Here is a 19,396-nt window from a genome sequence, read left to right on the forward strand (position 1 = left end):
ATCCTCTATGGGTTTATCTCTACTTCTCTCTCAACCGTTGTTGAGCCTTCAGCTAAGTCACCAACCCATACTGTGTTTATTCTCTGCATTTTCCAAATGCTTCTCTTCTTCAAACCTGCAAGTTTTAATATGAATCCAGCTGTTACCCAGTTCAGCACAGGTGATTTTTAAGGAAGTCCACCATTTTTGAACAGATATAAAATAACCCTGAATAAAACATTTTATATCATTTTCAACCATGATCTTCTAGGAGAACAATAATATAAAATATACCTATGTAGCAATGAATCTCTGCCTTTAGATGGTGAGAATAAATGTGAAATAATCAATACTTGTAACATTAAGACCCTAGAACCCTCTATATTGAGCCAAGCACATGGAAATATAGTGAATCTTAACCAGATTTCCAAATAAGCTGAGGAAGAGGGAGATCCAGCCCCTGTAACACTTGTGGGGTGCCCACTGTATTTTCCCCTCTGACTCAGTAGTGTACAATTCTTTCTAGAAAGAAAGTGTTTACAGAATTCAAAATGATAGGGAAAAAACAATAAACTTAGGTACCAGATATGTTCTTATGTTCTTTTATTTTATAAAATTTAGTGCCTTTCTTTCTTTCTTTTTTTTTTTTAAGACGGAGTCTTTCTCTGTCACCCAGCCTGGAGTGTACTGGCACCATCTGGGCTCACTGCAACCTCCTCCTCCCAGGTTCAAGCGATTCTCCTGCTTCAGCCTCCTGGGAAGCTGGGACTATGGGCACGTGCCACCATGCCCAGCTAATTTTTTGTATTTTTAGTAGAGACGGGGTTTCACCGTATTAGCCAGGATGGTCTCGATCTCCTGACCTTGTGATCCACCCACCTTGGTCTCCCAAAGTGTTGGGATTACAGGTGTGAGCCACCACGCCCGAATTTATTGCCTTTCTGAAGGGCAAGATTTATTCAAGCCTGTGCCAGAAATTTTCTTCATTACAAGGTGACTCTTTGGCAGACAGATGCTATTGACTCTTGAATTTTCCAAAGGCGAAATGGAAAATTTCAGCAATTTTGTTTCCAGCTGTCTTTACAGATTTATATTTGGACCTTAATCCTATTGGAAATCATCTGAAACTCATGAAACACACAATTGGAAAGTTAATTAGGGAGAAACCAAGGGAAAGAATAACTATTATCTATTACACCTATTTAGAACCTTCTCTTGAGATCTGGTTATTATTTTTATTAGAGATGTGAATCTGATACCTCTAGGCCTCTTGTGTTTGAACTTTAATAAATTGTACTCTGCTAACTTAGGAAGACTAAGTTTAATTAAGTGTATTGGTTAATGATAATTCTCTTTTACGTATTTAGTAAATATTCAGTTGAAGTTTATTGAGCATGTGCTATCTTTCAGATTCTGCGCTAGGTATAGAGCACATGAAGTTGGGAAAGACTTTTATTGTGCCTTCAAGAGCTCATGATTCCACAGAGAGAGTTAGACATGTCAGCCAGGAATCCCAGGGACATGTGAAATGCCCAGTGCTGTTTCATGTATCGCATGATACTGCAGGAATCCAGGGACACGTGAAACGCCCAGTGCTGTTTTATGTATTGCATGATACTGCAGGACAGAGGCATCATGAGAACAGCTATCATGCTTTTCTAATGTAGGAAGAGATTTTATCCAAAAAATGTCAATGCTACTTTAGATGTTCTTGGATTTGTTTTATTCTTTCCCAGAAAATAGAGAGAAAATAACATCAGGCAGACAGGCTTAGGAGGCACTATTCCCTGGATGATGTCCTTCCTTCTTGGATCCTGCTGTGACCACTCGTGGGCCATGTGGGACTTGTCTATAGATGGAGCAGAGCCTTAGTTGCCTTCTTGTACTTTAGCTTCTTCACAGTTTTAAAATGCCTTTTTAGAAAATGTAAGTAAAGTTCGTAGCCAGTTGGATTCGTATTTATCTATTTTTCTTAGCCCACTCTGTAGCATATTTGCTGACATCTGGGAATCCCGACTGCACAGTGTTATCCAGAGAGCATGTGTGCTGGGGAAATCAAGAAAGCCTCTCTTGTGGCATAAACATTGAGGGGGACATTTAAGGAAAGCGTAGAGAAAGCAAACCTTTCTTAACAGCTCTGCACATTTCAATGGCTTCTTGCTGTGTAAAAATATTGGGTGCTCTTCATGCTAAAGATGTTAAATGCAATTTCTTAGCTAGATTATGCTGCTCTTTGTATGTAAAAAATCACAAATTCCAGTGTCTGACTCACCTGTATAAATGTGACATTGTCACTTATGGGGAATATATAGAAAAATGTTCCTATATCAAATACTCTGAATGTTTTACCAAGCAATGAGATACTGTTCTCCCTATTGTAGAATAGATGCTTCACAATGAGTTACTGAGTTTTTCTTTTGTCATGTCTTAAAGACATGTCACTGTCTTAATGGCAATGCATGCTTTTAGAAAAGCAGATATAATTCCAGTATTTCTTTATGAAATGATATTCACTCAGGCAAATTATGTGCACTGAATTTTCTTTCTGTTGTTGCAGTATCATGTACTCAACCAAACAAATCAGGAGAGACCCTGAATTACCTCTTATCTATCTCACTGAACATAGTTGACATTTTGCTAAGTCGTAGCAATCTAATTAATTCTGGTTGCCTTCTTTCTGTGACTTAACAAGTTGCTCACAAAGAAAAAAAGTGTATCCAAAATATGCAGTTCAGAATCATCTAATGATATATTCAAGGTATAACATTCCTCTTTCACAGACATATCTTAATGTGTGACAGAAAACTTATGTGTAACATTATTAGATCAATAACCATGCTGGAAGAGGTACCCTTTTTATGAGAAAATAATATGACATGCCTGAAAGTACAGTGATTACAGGATTGGACTGCGGGACTCAGAGGTAACCTCTGGGTTGCTTCTGTTACCCATGGCTACGCATAGGAAAAGAGCTACCCAAGGTGGGAATGGTCCCAGGGGCTCCTCAAGTTTGACGGTGGGGAACACCAGGGGCAAGAAGGCTCTGAGGGTCCTTATGGTCTTAGGACAAATAAGATGATCTGGGTCAAACACTACTTAACCCCCAGCAATTCTTTTAGACCAGAGCTGAAGCAATAGAGAGTCACCCTGAGGTGAGGGTGACATGGTGACATGCAGGGGTCCTTGGGTTGGAAAGGCAGAGCAAATTCCTGCAATGCTCAAGTTATCAGGCAAAAAGGAGGAGCCTCCATCTCCTGTAGGCAAGTAGCCCGCAGTAATTCCCTCTGGAGGGGTCTACAGAGTGGGCTTTTTCCAGTTCATCACTACAGGTGTTGCCTCTCATGGGTCCTGGCTTCACGCAGGTAACTCTGACCTGAACACCTGGTGCATTTCACTTTTCCCATCCCCCACAGGTTCTGTGCTGGGGCACTGTGAGAATTTCTAGCCGCTATTGAGGTTTGGGCACAGAATTCACACTACCTCTGTATGTGTGTACCTAAAGAACCTAAGCATCAAATTGAGTTTAAAGTAGTGTTGGATGGGTGATGTACCCAGACATCTTGCAGAATTGAGAAAATGTGGGACATTAGGGAACTTTGAGGGCTAATGGACCTGTTTTATGTCTTCATTATGGTGGAGGTTACAAGGCTGAATGCATTTGTCAAAATGAATAGAGCTGTACACTTTAAAAACATCAAATAAATTCTCTGGAATTTTACTCTCTGTAAATTATGCTGCAATGTAAATTTTAAAAATTGTAAAGAATTAAAAAAGGAGTGATGATTGCCATACATCCTAGAATATATTCATATATATTTTTGGACTATTATTTCTCCCAAGCTGCAATCTGAGTGTTAACCATATCACGGTATTTTTCCTGGCAGCTGACTGTGATGCCCCACTGGCCTCTGCCTTGCCTAGGTCATCCTTCAGCAGCTCCTCAGAGCTGTCCAGCAGCCACGGCCCGGGGTTTTCAAGGCTTAATCGAAGAGATGGTGAGTCTGCCTTTTTCCTTGTATTGCTCCTTGGTGACTCTCATTGGATTTTCATTTAACAAAATAATTATAATTGATTAATACTTTGCAGAAGGAAGTAAAATTCAGAATAAGCATATTTGTTCACATTTGAAACTCCAAGAATGTATTTGACAGGAATAAGTTGATCACTTCGGCTTTCTTGTCCTGCTGGGTTTCCCTTGGTATGATCTTTGTGTGCCTTGAACAAGTCACACCTGACTTTGACAGTGTTTGAACTCTTTGTATACCCCTTGCAATATCTGAGTATTATTTATCAAAGACCTTAGATTCTGCCATGTCCTTTTTTTTTTACCTTGGATTCTTTTGTTCTGCCACAGTATACATTTTGTTGTCCCAGATTATTTAATTATCCCTATTTGGATGAGAAAATTGGCAAAGTAAAGAAGCGTTTAAGAAGATTTTTATTATGTTTTAACTACAACTCTTAGTTTATTTCTTATTATGGTGGACTTGATTCTCTCTTTAGCATCCACTGTAGAGAAATAACCATGTAATGGTTTATTCATGCTCCACTGTGACTATTCCATTTATATTTGTAAACATATCTCATGAGGAGTGTGTTTCTTTTACATATGCTTAAGCAGAAGTGTAGAAAATTGAATGTTGTCTTGCTGTGTAAATTAGAGGGAACTTTAAACACCAAATACATTGTGACAAGGAATCATCCTGGCATTTTCTGAGCACAAACTCAGATAGAACTTCTTTGAATAAATTCTCAGAGGAAATTAAATTTACACTATTAATAAAATGTATTTGTAGGCATATATTAAAAAGATTCAAAAGTGTCTACTGTATTTTATATAATTGTGCTTTCCTATTTTCTTATTGCCCTTGTTCTTTTTTTTTTTTTTGAGACGGAGTCTCGCTCTGTCACCCAGGCTGGAGTGCGGTGGTGCAATCTCAGCTCACTGCAAGCTCTGCCTCCTGGGTTCACACCATTCTCCTGCCTCAGCCTCCCAAGTGGCTAGGACTACAGGCACCCGCCACCAGGCCTGACTAATTTTTTGTTTTTTTTTTTTTTTTTTTTTAGCAGGGACGGGGTTTCACCATGTTAGCCAAGGTGGTCTGGATCTCCTCACCTCCTGATCCACCCACCTCAGCCTCCTGAAGTGATAGGATTATAGGCGTGAGCCTGTAACCGCGCCCAGCCTTTTTTTTTTTTTTTTTTTAACTCCCTGTTGCATTTCTTGGTGTTTTCTGTATTTGAGCACATTTAATGCATTGCACATTGGACCAAATAAATATGTTCTGGCATTTGTTATAGGCAGTATGGCTATGAAACATAAACAATTTAACTTTTCGTTTTTCTGTTTATTTTTCTTAAGTCTGTGATTTCATTTGTTGCAGAGATATGGGCTCTGTTTCGTTACTTTAGATTCTATTGCTGCAGAGCCTCAGTGGATGGTCATTATCACTGAAACAGTGACTAAGCCTGGGCACAGGGGGTAAAGGAAAACAAGAGCAATCTCAAGCCATAGCTCTTCTTGATGTCAAATCATATTTTGTACTAAAGTACATGATTATGAGGATTCTTTATCTTAGGGATCATTTTTATTCTTAGTTCATGTTCCTGTAACTCATCGTGCAAAAAAGCATGATATCAATCTTAATAAAATTTATTTTCATGTTAATGAAGTTAGAAAAACAGGCTTACTTTAGTTAGCTATCAACTAAGTTTATTACAAATTCATTGTTGTTGCTTTTTTAAATTGGTTTTGACTTTTTTCTTCTCCCTCGTGGTAGCCTGGAGTATTCATCAAAGGAGTTCCAAATTGGGAGTGATTTATTGAAGGCTATAGATTATCTCTAGTGTTTTCATATCCTTTATTAGATTCAGAATGGTCTATGGAAGAGTGACTGAACAAATGTTCTGATCATAAATAATTAAACTAACAAATAATGACCCCCTGTCTCAGACATTAAAGCCTTTCTCCAGTGGAGTGTAAAGATCTCAGAGCTAAAAATTAACAGGCAGAAAACAAGTAGTTTCCCTGTTGTGCAGCCCAGTGCCTTCTTCCCATGTGATGGGAAGACGCCATGGAAACAGCTGCGATAGTTACTCAAGCCTTAGCCTGAGGGGTGAGAGGGGAACAAGGTAGCTATGCATCCCGTCTGTCCCAGTGTAAAGAGTCAAAATGGACTTTTTGGAGGTGTCTTTCTTCATGCCTCTTGGATACCACAAGTAAACTAGTTCTTCCATGCCACTAAATGATGAACCCATGGGCCAAACAAGTTAATGCACTTTTATAAGCAACTTATTTAATTCCCTTTAATGGGGAAGACTCAATTTTTCCACCAAAGGTTTCATAAGTTATGAAGCATAATCCAGAATTACTTTCAACTTGTAAAAATGTATTATCATGAATATTGCACAGATTGGATTATAACTAATTAAATATGTTTTTGCTTTCTACATCTTCATAGTTAGAATTTCAGTATAACCTCTAACATGGTATTGGCTAATTTGAGGATAAAGTGACTTGTTGTAAATTTATTTATTTATTTATTTATTTATTTATTTATTTATTTATCGAGATGGAGTCTTGCTGTGTTGCCAGGCTGGAGTGCAGTGGTGCAATCTCGGCTCACTGCAAGCTCCGCCTCCTGGGCTCAAGTGATTCACCTGCCTCAGCCTCCCGAGTAGCTGGAACTGCAGGTGCCCACCACCACACCAGGCTAATTTTTGTATTTTTAGTAGAGAAGGGGTTTCACCATGCTGGCCCGGATGGTCTCAATGTCCTGACCTCGTGGTATGCCCACCTCGGCCTCCCAAAGGTGTGAGCCACCGCACCTGGCCGACCTGTTGTAAATTTAAGAGGCTAAGGGTCAGTGTGCATTTCTACACCTTTCACATTGCATCACTTGAAGCTAAGAAGAACTCTGTGGTATATTACATGTAAAAATAAGACTGAAATAAGCTGACAAAGACTTAGGGCAAAAAAATAAGGTTTTGAGTAGAATTGAAGAAAACATTTTGATAATAATATCAAAGAAATTCAGAGATGCCATTGAAACCATTTAATTATTTAAACATGTTTGTTATTCCTTTTTCTGTAACTTCTTCTGACACTAATTGAAAATTTCAGAAAATTAACCTATAGTTTAAAATGTTTAAAATATGAGAATTCAAATGATACACTGGCACATAGTAAATTCTTAACATTTCAAAATAAATAATGAATGATCTATATTAGGAAATGAAATCTTTATATGATACACACATACAGTTGTAAAACTTGGTTTTCTCCATAATCAATAATTGGCTTTCAGAGGCAATTTAATTATGCAATGGTTGTCCTTAGTTTTATTATACTTTATAATAAATGGATTGATGCTTTGTTTAGTTGACAAATACAGACATAGGTGAATTAATTTTACCTTTTTCCTTAGGCCTGTCTTCTCATGTGCTTATAGCTGTGTCTGTGTCAGATGAATTTGTGAAAATATATTCTCTTGTTTTAGACAATTTCAACAATTAATAAACACTGTGAAGTTGTTATTCCATGACTGTTTGAGATGGAAAACCAGCCGTTTTGGGTATCATTCACATACTGGCTAAAGACATACATTTATTTGTGCATTTGCTGCCCTGTGTCTCCTCTGCATTTATTATATTAGCAGTTTCAGTTTAAAGTTTATTTTTCTGTAATTCAGATTCCTTGCTTCTTATGCTGGTTGTCATATGAATATGCCTTTCTAAGATTAGGATAAAACACTCTTCTTGGTGTTTTCTTTCAGTCCTGTCTTGAGTTATTTTTAATCAAAATGCTAGGCTGAGGTCAACTGATTGTAATTTGTTTATAAGGAAAAAATGGAAGGTGACCTGAAGAATTTTCTCTCCTCCCTTTACCCAAAAGTATTTATTCTTATTTTGAAATGAGAAATTCCTTCAGAATTCCCCAAGATCAAAGAGGGCTATCTCACTGACAGCTAAGACACTGTTGTCTTCATCTGTAACTTGACTAGTCTTGTCCAAAAGAGGCCTCTTCTGGGTTGGAATTGCATTTAGTTTTAAATAAACAATTATGCAGAAAGTGCTTCTTCCATCTTATTAAAATTTCAGAGTTAGAAGAAAAGGCATCTGAAGTTTCCAAGTAGAACTATAACAGACCTAGTGTTTTTAGTATCCCCATAAGTAAGCATTCTAGCATAAGGGAGGGTTTGCTGGTTGCTCATTGAATGTTGTCTTGGCCGCTCACAGACCAACACATGATGAGTGTAAGATAAACTCTTTGGTCTAAAGAGAGAAAACATAAGAGTCTGTAGCTGTAACATGTCTGCTGACCCAAGCTGGAATGTTTTAGTGTATTGTGTCACCTAGTGAGTTTTAGGATTTCCCTCCCCACTTATGAGTTTTCCACCTCAGGTTAAAGGAATGTGGGATATTAAGGAGAATTATTAAGAGAGAAAGGGCAAGTATTTGGAAATGCAAAACCTAGACAAGGTGGAGATGATGTACTGGAGTCAGAGAGGAATTAATAGCATATTAATATCAACATCATTATGGCCCACACACATCTATCATGCTCTCTAGTATTGTGTCCAAGGTCCATAGATGGTCACTGTCTTATTATATCCCTGATCATACTAGCTTCACCAGACTTTCAGGTCACCCAGGGGCTACATCTCTTAGACAGCAGAATATTAAGATAATGGAAAACAATAATAAGTTATGACAGTGTGTGAAAAACATGAAAAAGATTTTATATTCTCTCATGATAGATGTAATTCAAGATGCTACTGCAATAAATTAAAAAATATATATGCTTTTTTGCAAGGATAACCCATGTGTTTTCATGGTCTAACGAAGTTAGACAGCATTGTTATTTGTGGCTTGAGACCTCTGCAATTGCTCCTTTTTAAAGTTGCAAAATGAATGTACAATAACTAACCATGCATTAGACCGAAGGAGAGTTTGAGAATTTTTTCAAGGGGCCTTCACTAATGAAGCAAGCTGTCTTATTTGGGGATCTGTAAGCAGCAAAGATAAACATTGCCTAAGACATTTCTGTTGAAATGGCGTAAAACACATGGATTACTTACTTCTTCAGGGATTTTAAATACTTGGAAACAATGCAGTGAACACAGATATTACTGTGAAGAACATTTCAGCAAATGAGTTTACAAAATGGATGAAACCGAAGAAGTGTCTTATGTTTCTAGCTTCTCACCTGAAGAGATTAACTATATGGGTGGACCTCATCAACATTCGAAACTTTCTTTCCAAGAGGTTTTTCCTGTAGAATTTTAGGACTTTCTGGGAAGATGCATGACAGATGCATGCCATTGTTGATGATGTGGGTCACTGTGGAAACTGCCCTAATGAGGCCATTATGCTGCCTATTTGTGATATTTGGTTATGAGTTGATGACAATATTGTAGAGAAAATAGACACTCAAGCTGTTGAAAAATTTTACAGGTTGACATCAATTATCACTTAGAACTTTTTTCTCAATTTTCTGAGTGAATGAGGATTGTGTTTAAAAAGATACTTTCTGCCTCATTTCTTCTCCAGTTATTTTGAAAAAGCTCAGATTCTGATTTCTTAGGAAAAGAGTAAAGCAGGGAAACTAGAGGTGGGAATTTGTGCTGCACACAACCTAGCCACGACTCTGGGTGCACCAGCCCTTCGGATCTGGGCAGGTAAGCATTTGCCCAGGTATCAGGCTGCCTGTGTGGCTCCACAGAACAAAGATGGGGAAGCAGAGGCATCAGCTTCTCTTATAGCACAGCACACAGCCTTCCAGGAGTGGATACACACTTTCTTTCTATTATTAGCACAAATAATTATCTCAACTCAATAGAAAAAATAGCAATCTGTGCCTGATTGTCCTGAAAATGTTTCATTAATTTACTTGTATTCAGTGAATATGAAACCATAGTTGGTGGTTTTTCAGTAAGTACAGAAAACATATTTGGTGGGTTGTTTTCCATGCAGAGTGTAAATATTGTAGGGCCAAAGTCTTAGTTATCTGTTTTTTTTTTGCTGTTGGTTTTTTTTTTTTTTTTGAGACAGAGTCTCGCTCTGTCACCCAGGCTGGAGTGCAGTGGCACGATCTCTGCTCACTGCAAGCTCCACCTCCCAGGTTCACGCCATTCTCCTGCCTCAGCCTCCCAAGTAGCTGGGACTACAGGCACCCACCACCACGCCCGGCTAATTTTTTTTTTTTTTTTTTTTTTGTATTTTTAGTAGAGACGGGGTTTCACCATGTTAGCCAGGATGGTCTCAATCTCCTGACCTAGTGATCCACCTTTCTCGGCCTCCCAGAGTGCTGGGATTACAGGCGTGAGCCACCACGCCCAGCCTAGTTATCTTTTTCATGGAATAAAACTACAGAGGATACATTCCAGTGTCAGTAAGACAAAGAGTTTCTGCTTCTCTGAGGAAGTAAGTTTGCTATGTAGACACACACACACAGAAAATGGTCAAAAGTTGCTTTTATAAACTCCAATAATCAATTTTTTTACATTAGCACCTTACTCCATGAAGATCACAGTATATGAATACAAAATAATATGTATGAATGTTGATTTGTGGAAAAAAATCTTAGAGATATCACTCCCTCGTTTTTCCAAATTCTGTGTATTGTCTGTTGAAACAGTTCATGCTTATGATTCTAATACATCATTTCCATGGATCTCCCCCTCAGCTTAGTCTCTTCATGTCTCACTTGGATTATTTTGAAAGTCCCATGATTGAACTTCAACTTTTGAAGCTTTCCCTAATTAAATAAATGCTTAGCAAAGTCCTCAGTTAATGTTCTTTAAAGTGCTATTCTCTTCTTATTCCATGCTCAGTTGATGAATCTCAGACACTAACCCCATAGAGCAGTTCTCAAATTCACAAGCCACCTAATGCCCACTGCCATACGTAAGAAGGTGGTCTAGTAAATTTTGGAGTAAAGGCAATATATATTTCACAAAATCAAAATGTAAGATCAATTACAATTCAGCTAATATTTAATTAGGATATAAGGCATCTCAGTGAATGCATTTTTAGTTTTTGAAGTATGTAATTTTTTTTTTAGATTTGTACTTAGCTATTCTTACTAAATTTTGGAAAGTTCCTGCTTTATGGAAATGAATCAGTGACTCTAAATGGTTCTTTGAGGTATAAAAACAAAGATAGTAACAAATACAAATTTCACAATCTGGACTAGAAAACATTGCTAGTGACCACAACTCAAATACAAATATAAAAAGCATCTTTATTAACCTGGGGTAAAAGCTTCTCTGCGTGGGGCAGTTTTACCCAGGCAACTGAACAGGCGGTGCGGGACGAATGTTTGAAAATTGGAACTAACTTGGACGCACTCATCCCCATTTTCCATGCCTGCTGTGCACTCCTGCCAGATGGGAACATGATGTCATATTTTCCGTCAGTTTTCAAACAAAACGGTGATAATCTAATATTTTCTGGAATAACCATAGAATAATGTTTTCCAATGTGAACTTGGTAAATTTTATGAATGAAAGAGAAGCAGATATTGGATCCACACAGCCATCGTTGAAGGTGGCACACCTAACATCAAAAACTTCTGTGCGGGACCGGGCACGTTGGTTCACGCCTGTAATCCCAGCACTTTGGGAGGCTGAGGCGGTTGGATCACCTTGAGCCCAGGAGTTGGAGACCAGCCTGGGCAACATCAAAACCCTGTCTCTATTAAAAAAAAAAAAAGTTTCATGCCACTGTTACGGACTAGGAATGTCTAAAATCCATCACAAAGTTAGTATTTTGCTTGGAGGGGCAAGTAGAATGAGCTTTTGGAAAGTTTCTTTAACAATTCTTTGATCTAGTAATTCCTGAAAACCTTTGAGGCTGGTGAAAATACTTTTTCATGTAGGGATGAATCATTCTGTGAGTCCTGGCGTAAGTCAGCCAGAAACTCATGATGGGAGCTTTTGATGGGGGGATATGAGGTTTAAAAATGGAAATAAAAACTTTCTTCACGACACTGATAATTCCTATAAAGGCCATTTCTGTGTGGGATGACATGTACAATTAACATAAATGACCCTGCTTCCAAGCTCACTGAAATTTTTCGCCAGTGCCCTCAGACCTCCGTCTTTGCTCCTAACTCAGATTGTCTTGAGTCTTCTGTGTAGAGAAAAGGGGATCATTGCAGAGACTGTGAACCAAGACATTAATCTTCACTTCTGAAGTCCAAAAGCATCTTTTGGTCTGAGGTAGAAAAAGTTTGAAAGGGAATTGAGTAGGCTAAAGGTGTTTTAATTTTTCTGCTATCTCGCAGACTAGGAACCCTCAGCAGGACTGCACGATAGGATGCATAGAGAGGTGGGGACTGCCCTGAAGCTCTGCTCTCAAGCAGAGCCTTGCCGGTGGTGGCTTAATAGAAGTCTTCACTGAAGCTCAGGGATCTGAGTGGGCGCTCTCAAGTGTGTAGTGGAAAGGAGAACGCCAGTCTCCAAGAGCAGCCTGCACGGCATCCTCATTGTGCTGCGGCACATTCAGTGACAGGACTGGATGCCCTGTGGCAGCTCTGGTGGCCGGTGAGGACAGCCCCAGTTATCCAAGGACACCCTGAGGTACCAAAGGCAGGTGAGCAAGACCATGTTCCTGCCTGAGGTCTGGCAGAGGGAGGAGAAAGGTTCATCAAAACGTTGTGGAGAGCACTGTCCCAGCCTGGGATGGGAGGACTTGGCTCCGTCGGCAGCAGGTCGCCATCCCTGAGGACAGTGCAGTGCTGACTTCTACTTGGGGCTTGAACACACTCCCCTCCCCGCTTTACCAAGGCAATTAGCAAAGCCAGAAGAGACCAGAGTTAACTCTGGGGATGAAGGGGAAGTAAAAGAACCCCTGAAGGAATTTTCAAGGGTCTGCGACCAATACAGACACGAACTGACAGGCTTATCCCTTAACTGGACAGAGACACCTGTTGTGACTACTTCCAGTCTCTGTATCAGCCAGAATTCCAGCTCCTACTAGAAAGCTTTCTGGGTTATGGAGAAATGAAGTTACATTTTCCCTCATGAGTTTGTGATTTAAAAATTTATACCTGCAGAATGATTCTGACGGATTTGCTCAAGTGGCTTTTGTCAGGGTTATAGTCAGTATCTTCTCTAGCCTCAAATTAATGAGATGTTGTTGAGGATGACTTAAAATTTTCTTTGAAAGTCTGAAACATGATGCAGAATGCTTGCACCAAAAGAGTTTTACATTTTCCCCACGCTTGTACTTACTAGAGCCAAGTACATCAAAGGTGTGAGTTAAAACCCGTGATGCAGGGAACTCTGACACTTGTGATAACATGGATGAACCTGGAGGACATTATGTTAAGTGAAATAAACCAGGCACAGAGAGACAAATACCATATAGTCTCACTTACATGTGGAATTTAAAGACAGTGCTCACAGAAGTAGAGAGTAGAATGGTGGTTACCAGACGCTAGAGGAGAGGGTGGATAGGGAAGGGGGAGATGTTGGTCAGTAGGTACATAGTTTTGGGTAGATAGGAATAATAATTTCTGTTGTTCTTTTGCACAGCATAGTGAATAGAGTTAATAAGTGTTGTCTGTTTTGAAATATATGAGAGAATTTTAACTATTCTCACCGCTAAAAGAATGATACATATTTGAGGTGACTGATATGTTGATTAGCCTGATTCGATCATTTTACAGTGTATGCATGTATCCAAACATCACATTGCACCTCATAAAAATGTACAATTATTATTCATCAATTAAAAATAAAAGTTAAACATGGGAGTTAGCAAACTTCTGCTGTAAAGAGACAGATGGAAAATGATTTTGGTATTGTGGACCATGTAAGGTCTCTGTTACATTTCTTTTTTTTCTTTTTTCTTTCTCTGTCTTCCCTCCCTCCCTCCCTCCCTCCCTTCCTCCTCCTTCTCCTTCCTTCCTTCCTTGCTTTTTTCCTTCCCTCTTTTTTTCTTTTCCCCTCTTCTCTCTTTCTCTTTCTTTTTCTGAAACACAGTCTTGCTCTGTTGCCCAGGTTTGGAGTACAGTGGCAAGATCACAGCTTAGTGTAGCCTCAACCTCCGTGGGCTCAGGTGATCCTCCCACCCCAGCCTCCCGAGTAGCTGGGACCACAGTCACATGTCATAACACCCAGCGAACATTTATATTTTTTGTAAAGATGGGATCTCATTATGTTGCTCAGGCTGGTCTTGAATTCCTGGGCTCAAGCAGTCCAGCCACCTCAGCGTCCCAAAATGTTGGGATTACAGGCCTGAGCCACCATACCCAGCCCCCACCCTCTTTGTTTTTTTTTTTTAAATGCAACGCTTTACAAATGTAAAACCATTCTTAGTTCTCTGGCTATATAAAGCAGGTCATAATCTAGATTTTGGCTGCCAGACCTAATCTAGATTTTTACTAAGCCTACATGCTAAATATGTCTGGCACTTTCCCTTAAAAAGCTCTCAGCATTTATCACATGCCTGTGTGCTTACTAGGTGTTTGTATGCTTTTCTTACACTTTGTGCAATTCTAACTTCCTTGAAGGAAGGGTGCTATCTTATCCTTAGTGATTAGGGATAAGCTTGGAATCATCCAGGCTCTACCCCTTACTAGCTGTGTAACTTTGGACAAATTCCTTTATCTCCCTGAGTTTTTGTTTCCTCAGTTATAAAATGGGATTAGTAAAGTACCTATCATGAAACAGTTAACTTGAGTAAAATAGGTTGTGAAGATTAAATGAATTAATACACATAAAATAATTAGGTTATGTTACATCAATGTTCAGAGCAGGTGTATCCACAAGAGCCAAAAGAGAAACAACCCAAATTTCCATTGATGGACAAACGGAGAAGCCTAGTGCAGTGTAGGAAGAAAATTCTGGCCCGTACTGTAACACAGATGAACTTTCAAGACATTATGCTAAGGAAAATAAGCTAGACACAAAAGGACAACTACTACGTTATTCATTTATATGAGGTACCTAGAGTAGTGAAATTCATAGAGACAAGAAATAGAATAGTGGTTGCCAGGGGCTGGTAATGGAGGTTATTGTTAGTGGGTTCAGAGTTTTCATTTGGGAAGGTGAAACAGCTCTAGAGATGGATGGTAGTGATGGTTGCACAATGTGAATGTACTTAATGCTACTGAACTTTACATATAAAACAGTTCAAATGGTAAATTTCATGTGATGTGTATTACCATAATTAAAAAATTAGTATATGATCTGATCCAAAGTAGCTAAAATCTACTGAGTGCTGCTGAAGCAAAAATTATAATTAGTAGCTTTTTTTTTAATTTGTTTTGTTTTGTTTTGGTTTTTGAGATGGAGCCTCACCCTGTCACCCAGGCTGGAGTGCAGTGACGTGATCTCGGCTGACTGCAACCTCCGCTTCCTGGGTTCAAGCTATTCTCCTGCCTCAGCCTTCTGAGTAACTGGGATTACAGGTGCGCGCCACCACGCCTGGCTAATTTTTTGTATTTTTAGTAGAGACGGGGTTTCACCATGTTGGCCAGGCTCAACTCCTGACCTCGTGATCCGCCTCGGCCACCTTGGCCTCCCAAAGTGCTGGGATTACAGGCGTGAGCCACCGCGCCCGGCAATTAGTAGTATCAACAGTGGGAGTAAAAGTGGCAGTTAAGCACATTGTTTCACAACATCTAGCTCAGAGCCATGACAAAGCAAACATTAAATAATATGTATAGATGGAATTAAACTTAAGCTTCTGTAGTAGAATAATTCAGAATAAAACATGAAATAATGCCAGGTAATGTCAGTTGTTACCAAAGAAATGTCCAAACTCTGAAAGAGCTTGTTAAATTAGGTTATGGCAGCCCACGGTGCAGGGGAGGGGACCGTCAGGTGATGTTTAAGTAGTTTACATGGACTGAATGAATCCCCTATGGTTCCATTTAAATTGGCCACCACACTGCCAGGCATATGACATTGGCAACTTAAACTCGACAGAGAAACCTCTAAGAATAAGATTAATGCATTTCTCATTCTCTGTGTCACAATTATTCAATTTAAAAAAACAGGAAAATATCAAAAATCTTTTTATGAAATGGCTGTACCAGTTTTACCTTCTACAGTATAAATGCAATATGGCTTTTGGTGCATTTAAATTAATTTTATAAGGAGTCCCAATCAGCTGATGAGTAGTTTTAGAATTGTTCCTATAATTGTCAACCTGGAGAGCTCTTCACTATTTTATTCATACTTCACTGAAAATTAAAGTTCAGTTTTATGCCTAATTTTATACATAACGTGTTGTAAAACATCACCATTTGGGTGATGTGTGTATATGTGTATTTTCCTTCCAATAGGATATATATGTGTATTTTCTATTTATAACTAGCTGACACAGGACCATTCTCATAATCCCATTTGATTTTTGTATTTGTCAGTAGATATAACAATCTCCCTTTGGTTCAGATTGAAAAAACGGAAAATGATGATGATGATGATGATGATTGTTGACTGTGCTGATAATTCTTTGTATACCATTATTTTAGCTTTAAACTATTTTAAGTGTGGTCCAGTACAAAAGCTGCTTAAGTCAGATACCCCAGTCTCTATGATGTGATTATTATGTATTACATGCCTGTATCAAAATATCTCATGTACCCTATAAATACATACAACTACTACATACCCACAAAAATTAAAAATTAAAAAGGAAAATAAACCAGAAAAAAGTCAGATTTTTAAAAAATTTTACATTTCATTATATTTAGAAAACTTAGCTTTATGGGGTTTTAGAGAACATGGTTTTTCTTCCATGTACCTTCCTATTTATTTTTTATGATGCTCAAAGTTGCTAAGTTTCCACATATTTTAGTAAGAATTAGCAATGCCCTGAATTCCATAGCTTTCATAAAGGATTACCTGTGTACCATCTCATCGCCACCTCTTTCCTATTACAGGAAAGCAATAAGAAGATATTCTGTAGTTAATTTAGATTGCTTGCCAAAATAGTTTTAAACTGATTTGTAATTTTTCCTAAACCAGAATGAGGAATTGTATAGTTTAAAGTATTAATATATATGAAATTGTCACACTACGTTTCAGATGCTTAGGAAATGTAGAGAAATTATTGTAAAATACATTTTAGAAAAGATGTTGCAACAAGACGAGGACAGAAGTCTGTGAAGTGTTGTGAGGAGGGCCCAGGGAAGCAGGAGGAAGGTGGGGAGACCACAGGATGACCTGGAGCCAAAGAAGAAGGGCCCAGGTCCCAGGGTCTCTACAGCACTGCCGGCCTTCCAGCCACAGTTTTTCTCAATCTTCCTGTCATATCCCTCAAGGAAGTAAGTGGACATTGTAAAGAGCGAGTAATTATAGCACAACAAAAATCAAAAGTCATGATTCTGGAAAGCATTATCAATAAAAAATGGAGAAATAGTTGACATCTCTTCATGTTTCCTCTGGAAATTTCTGATTATGTATGTATACTCTTCCACTCTAATATCCAAACAACTCTCTTACTTCTTCATGCAAAGAAACATGAAAGAATGAAAAGGTTCATCACAAGTGTATGATTAATTTTGTATATATAATTTTGCAAATTAATAGATTTTAATGTGTTCAATAAATGTACATAAATACACATGTATGTATATATCTGTGTGTGTGTATGTACTATGTACTAAATATATACTATATGTGTGTGTGTGTGTGTGTGTGTATATATATATATATATTTAGAGAGAGTCAGTGTGTACTTAATAGTCAAATCCAAATTTCAAGAACTTTATATTTTATGTAATGGCACCAGTTTTCCTGAAGCTGAATGTATGTGTGTGTGTGTGTGTGTGTATTCAGTTGCAGGAATATATACATATATACGGTCAGTGTGAGTGTGTGTATATATATATATATATATACACACACACACATATGTCAGTACATACATGGTCAGTGTGTGTGCATATAAACACACATATATGTCAGTACATATACACATATACATATATGTTAGTGTATACTAACTGTATACTGACTATATATAGTCATAGTCATATATACTGACTATAGTCATAGTCATATACTGACTATATATGTCAGTATATACATACATATATATTTCAGTATATATATGTATGTATACTGACATATAGGTATAGTCAGATTGTGTATATTCAGCTACAGGAAAATTGGTGCCATTATATAAAATATGAAATTCTTGAAATTTGGATTTGACTATTAAACCTGACTTTGTTGTCATTAAGTTTACATTGATATTTCCTGGAATTGCACATTGCTAAATTTTTCTGCAAAACCAAGATTTCTAAAATATGATGGGGCATTTGATACAAGAAAAGGCAAATAAAGAAAAAGTAGAGCTCCATTTGTCATTCTTCTTAAGTGTCTCCTTAAGAAAACTATGTGATCCAAAGTTATTTAGACAAAAGCTTAAGAAATAAAACACTTAGTAACTCACGCTAGTACTTGATTATTCTTTTGCTTATCAAGTTTTCTTCTTTTTATGATTATTATACCTTTAATTGCGAACATTCATTGGATTGGCTCAGTAGCATTTTATGTGAGACAACTTTCCATTTTAATAAGTACATATTCTCCTTCGTTAATGTGAAATAGAAGTGCAGGAGTAGGGATGAAATGGATAATTTTGCTAGAAGCAAATTGAAACTGGCTAGGCAAAAGCGTATATGTATTTTGCCCTCTTTTTCTGTTTTTAGAAAGTGCTTGTGTTAACTCTCATTCTCAGCCAGAAGCGTTAATGATTCAAACGGGCTGTATATATTGAAAACCATGAACTCTCACGTGCAGAGTACAATCAGGGAGCAAGCCCGTGGGTTTGAATGGAAATTAACGTTGGTGTATGGGAATGAATTTCATAGACAAGGATAATTTAGAAACCTATGTGATAAACTGCAAACACAGAGCAAATGGAAACATATTGGATCTTTTCCCTCCACTCCTCATATTTCTCCACTATTCAGATGTCCTTCCATGTGATCATGCTTTCTTGGCACACTGAATAGGTTCAGTGATTAAGAGGCAGAGAAAATAATTACTGAATATTTTTAATACAAAATGAATAGCTCAGGATATTTGTAAGGGCTTTTCAATATCAAGATATTTATTTCCCACATTAGAAAGTATAAGTCCTAATGAAAACTTGGCACCATAGTTTAAAATCATATTAATAAATAAAAGCAAAATTCTTACATTGGGGAAATGACCCATAAATGGTTTGTTATAGTATGCGATCTTTAACTACTTGAAATTTCCACTATTCTGCACAGTGCAATATCCCAAAACAGAATAGGATGTGAGATTTCATTGTTTTGTATGAGGAATCTAGAGGAAAGAAATTGATAAAAATGTATGCAATAATTTAAAAATATAAAGAGTATCAATCTCTGATAGAATAATGTAAATGTAGCAAATATTTAAGATAACTAATCTAATAAGAA

At 37.8% G+C, this 19,396-nt stretch overlaps 2 pseudogenes across 1 annotated transcript in view; both read left to right on the top strand.

Moving 5' to 3' along the window:
- The window catches only part of CNTNAP3P2 (CNTNAP3 pseudogene 2), a 237,697-nt pseudogene that overhangs the window by 19,369 nt on the left and 198,932 nt on the right, over nt 1-19,396 (top strand). The window contains exon 2 of the transcript NR_111893.2: nt 3,864-3,974. The product of NR_111893.2 is annotated as a CNTNAP3 pseudogene 2 (transcript). The remainder of the gene's footprint in view (nt 1-3,863; nt 3,975-19,396) is intronic.
- Nucleotides 8,918-9,460, top strand: USP12P3 (USP12 pseudogene 3; annotated as a pseudogene).

The sequence above is a fragment of the Homo sapiens genome, chromosome 9 (assembly GCF_000001405.40).
Source record: "Homo sapiens chromosome 9, GRCh38.p14 Primary Assembly".
Classification (NCBI taxonomy): domain Eukaryota; kingdom Metazoa; phylum Chordata; class Mammalia; order Primates; family Hominidae; genus Homo; species Homo sapiens.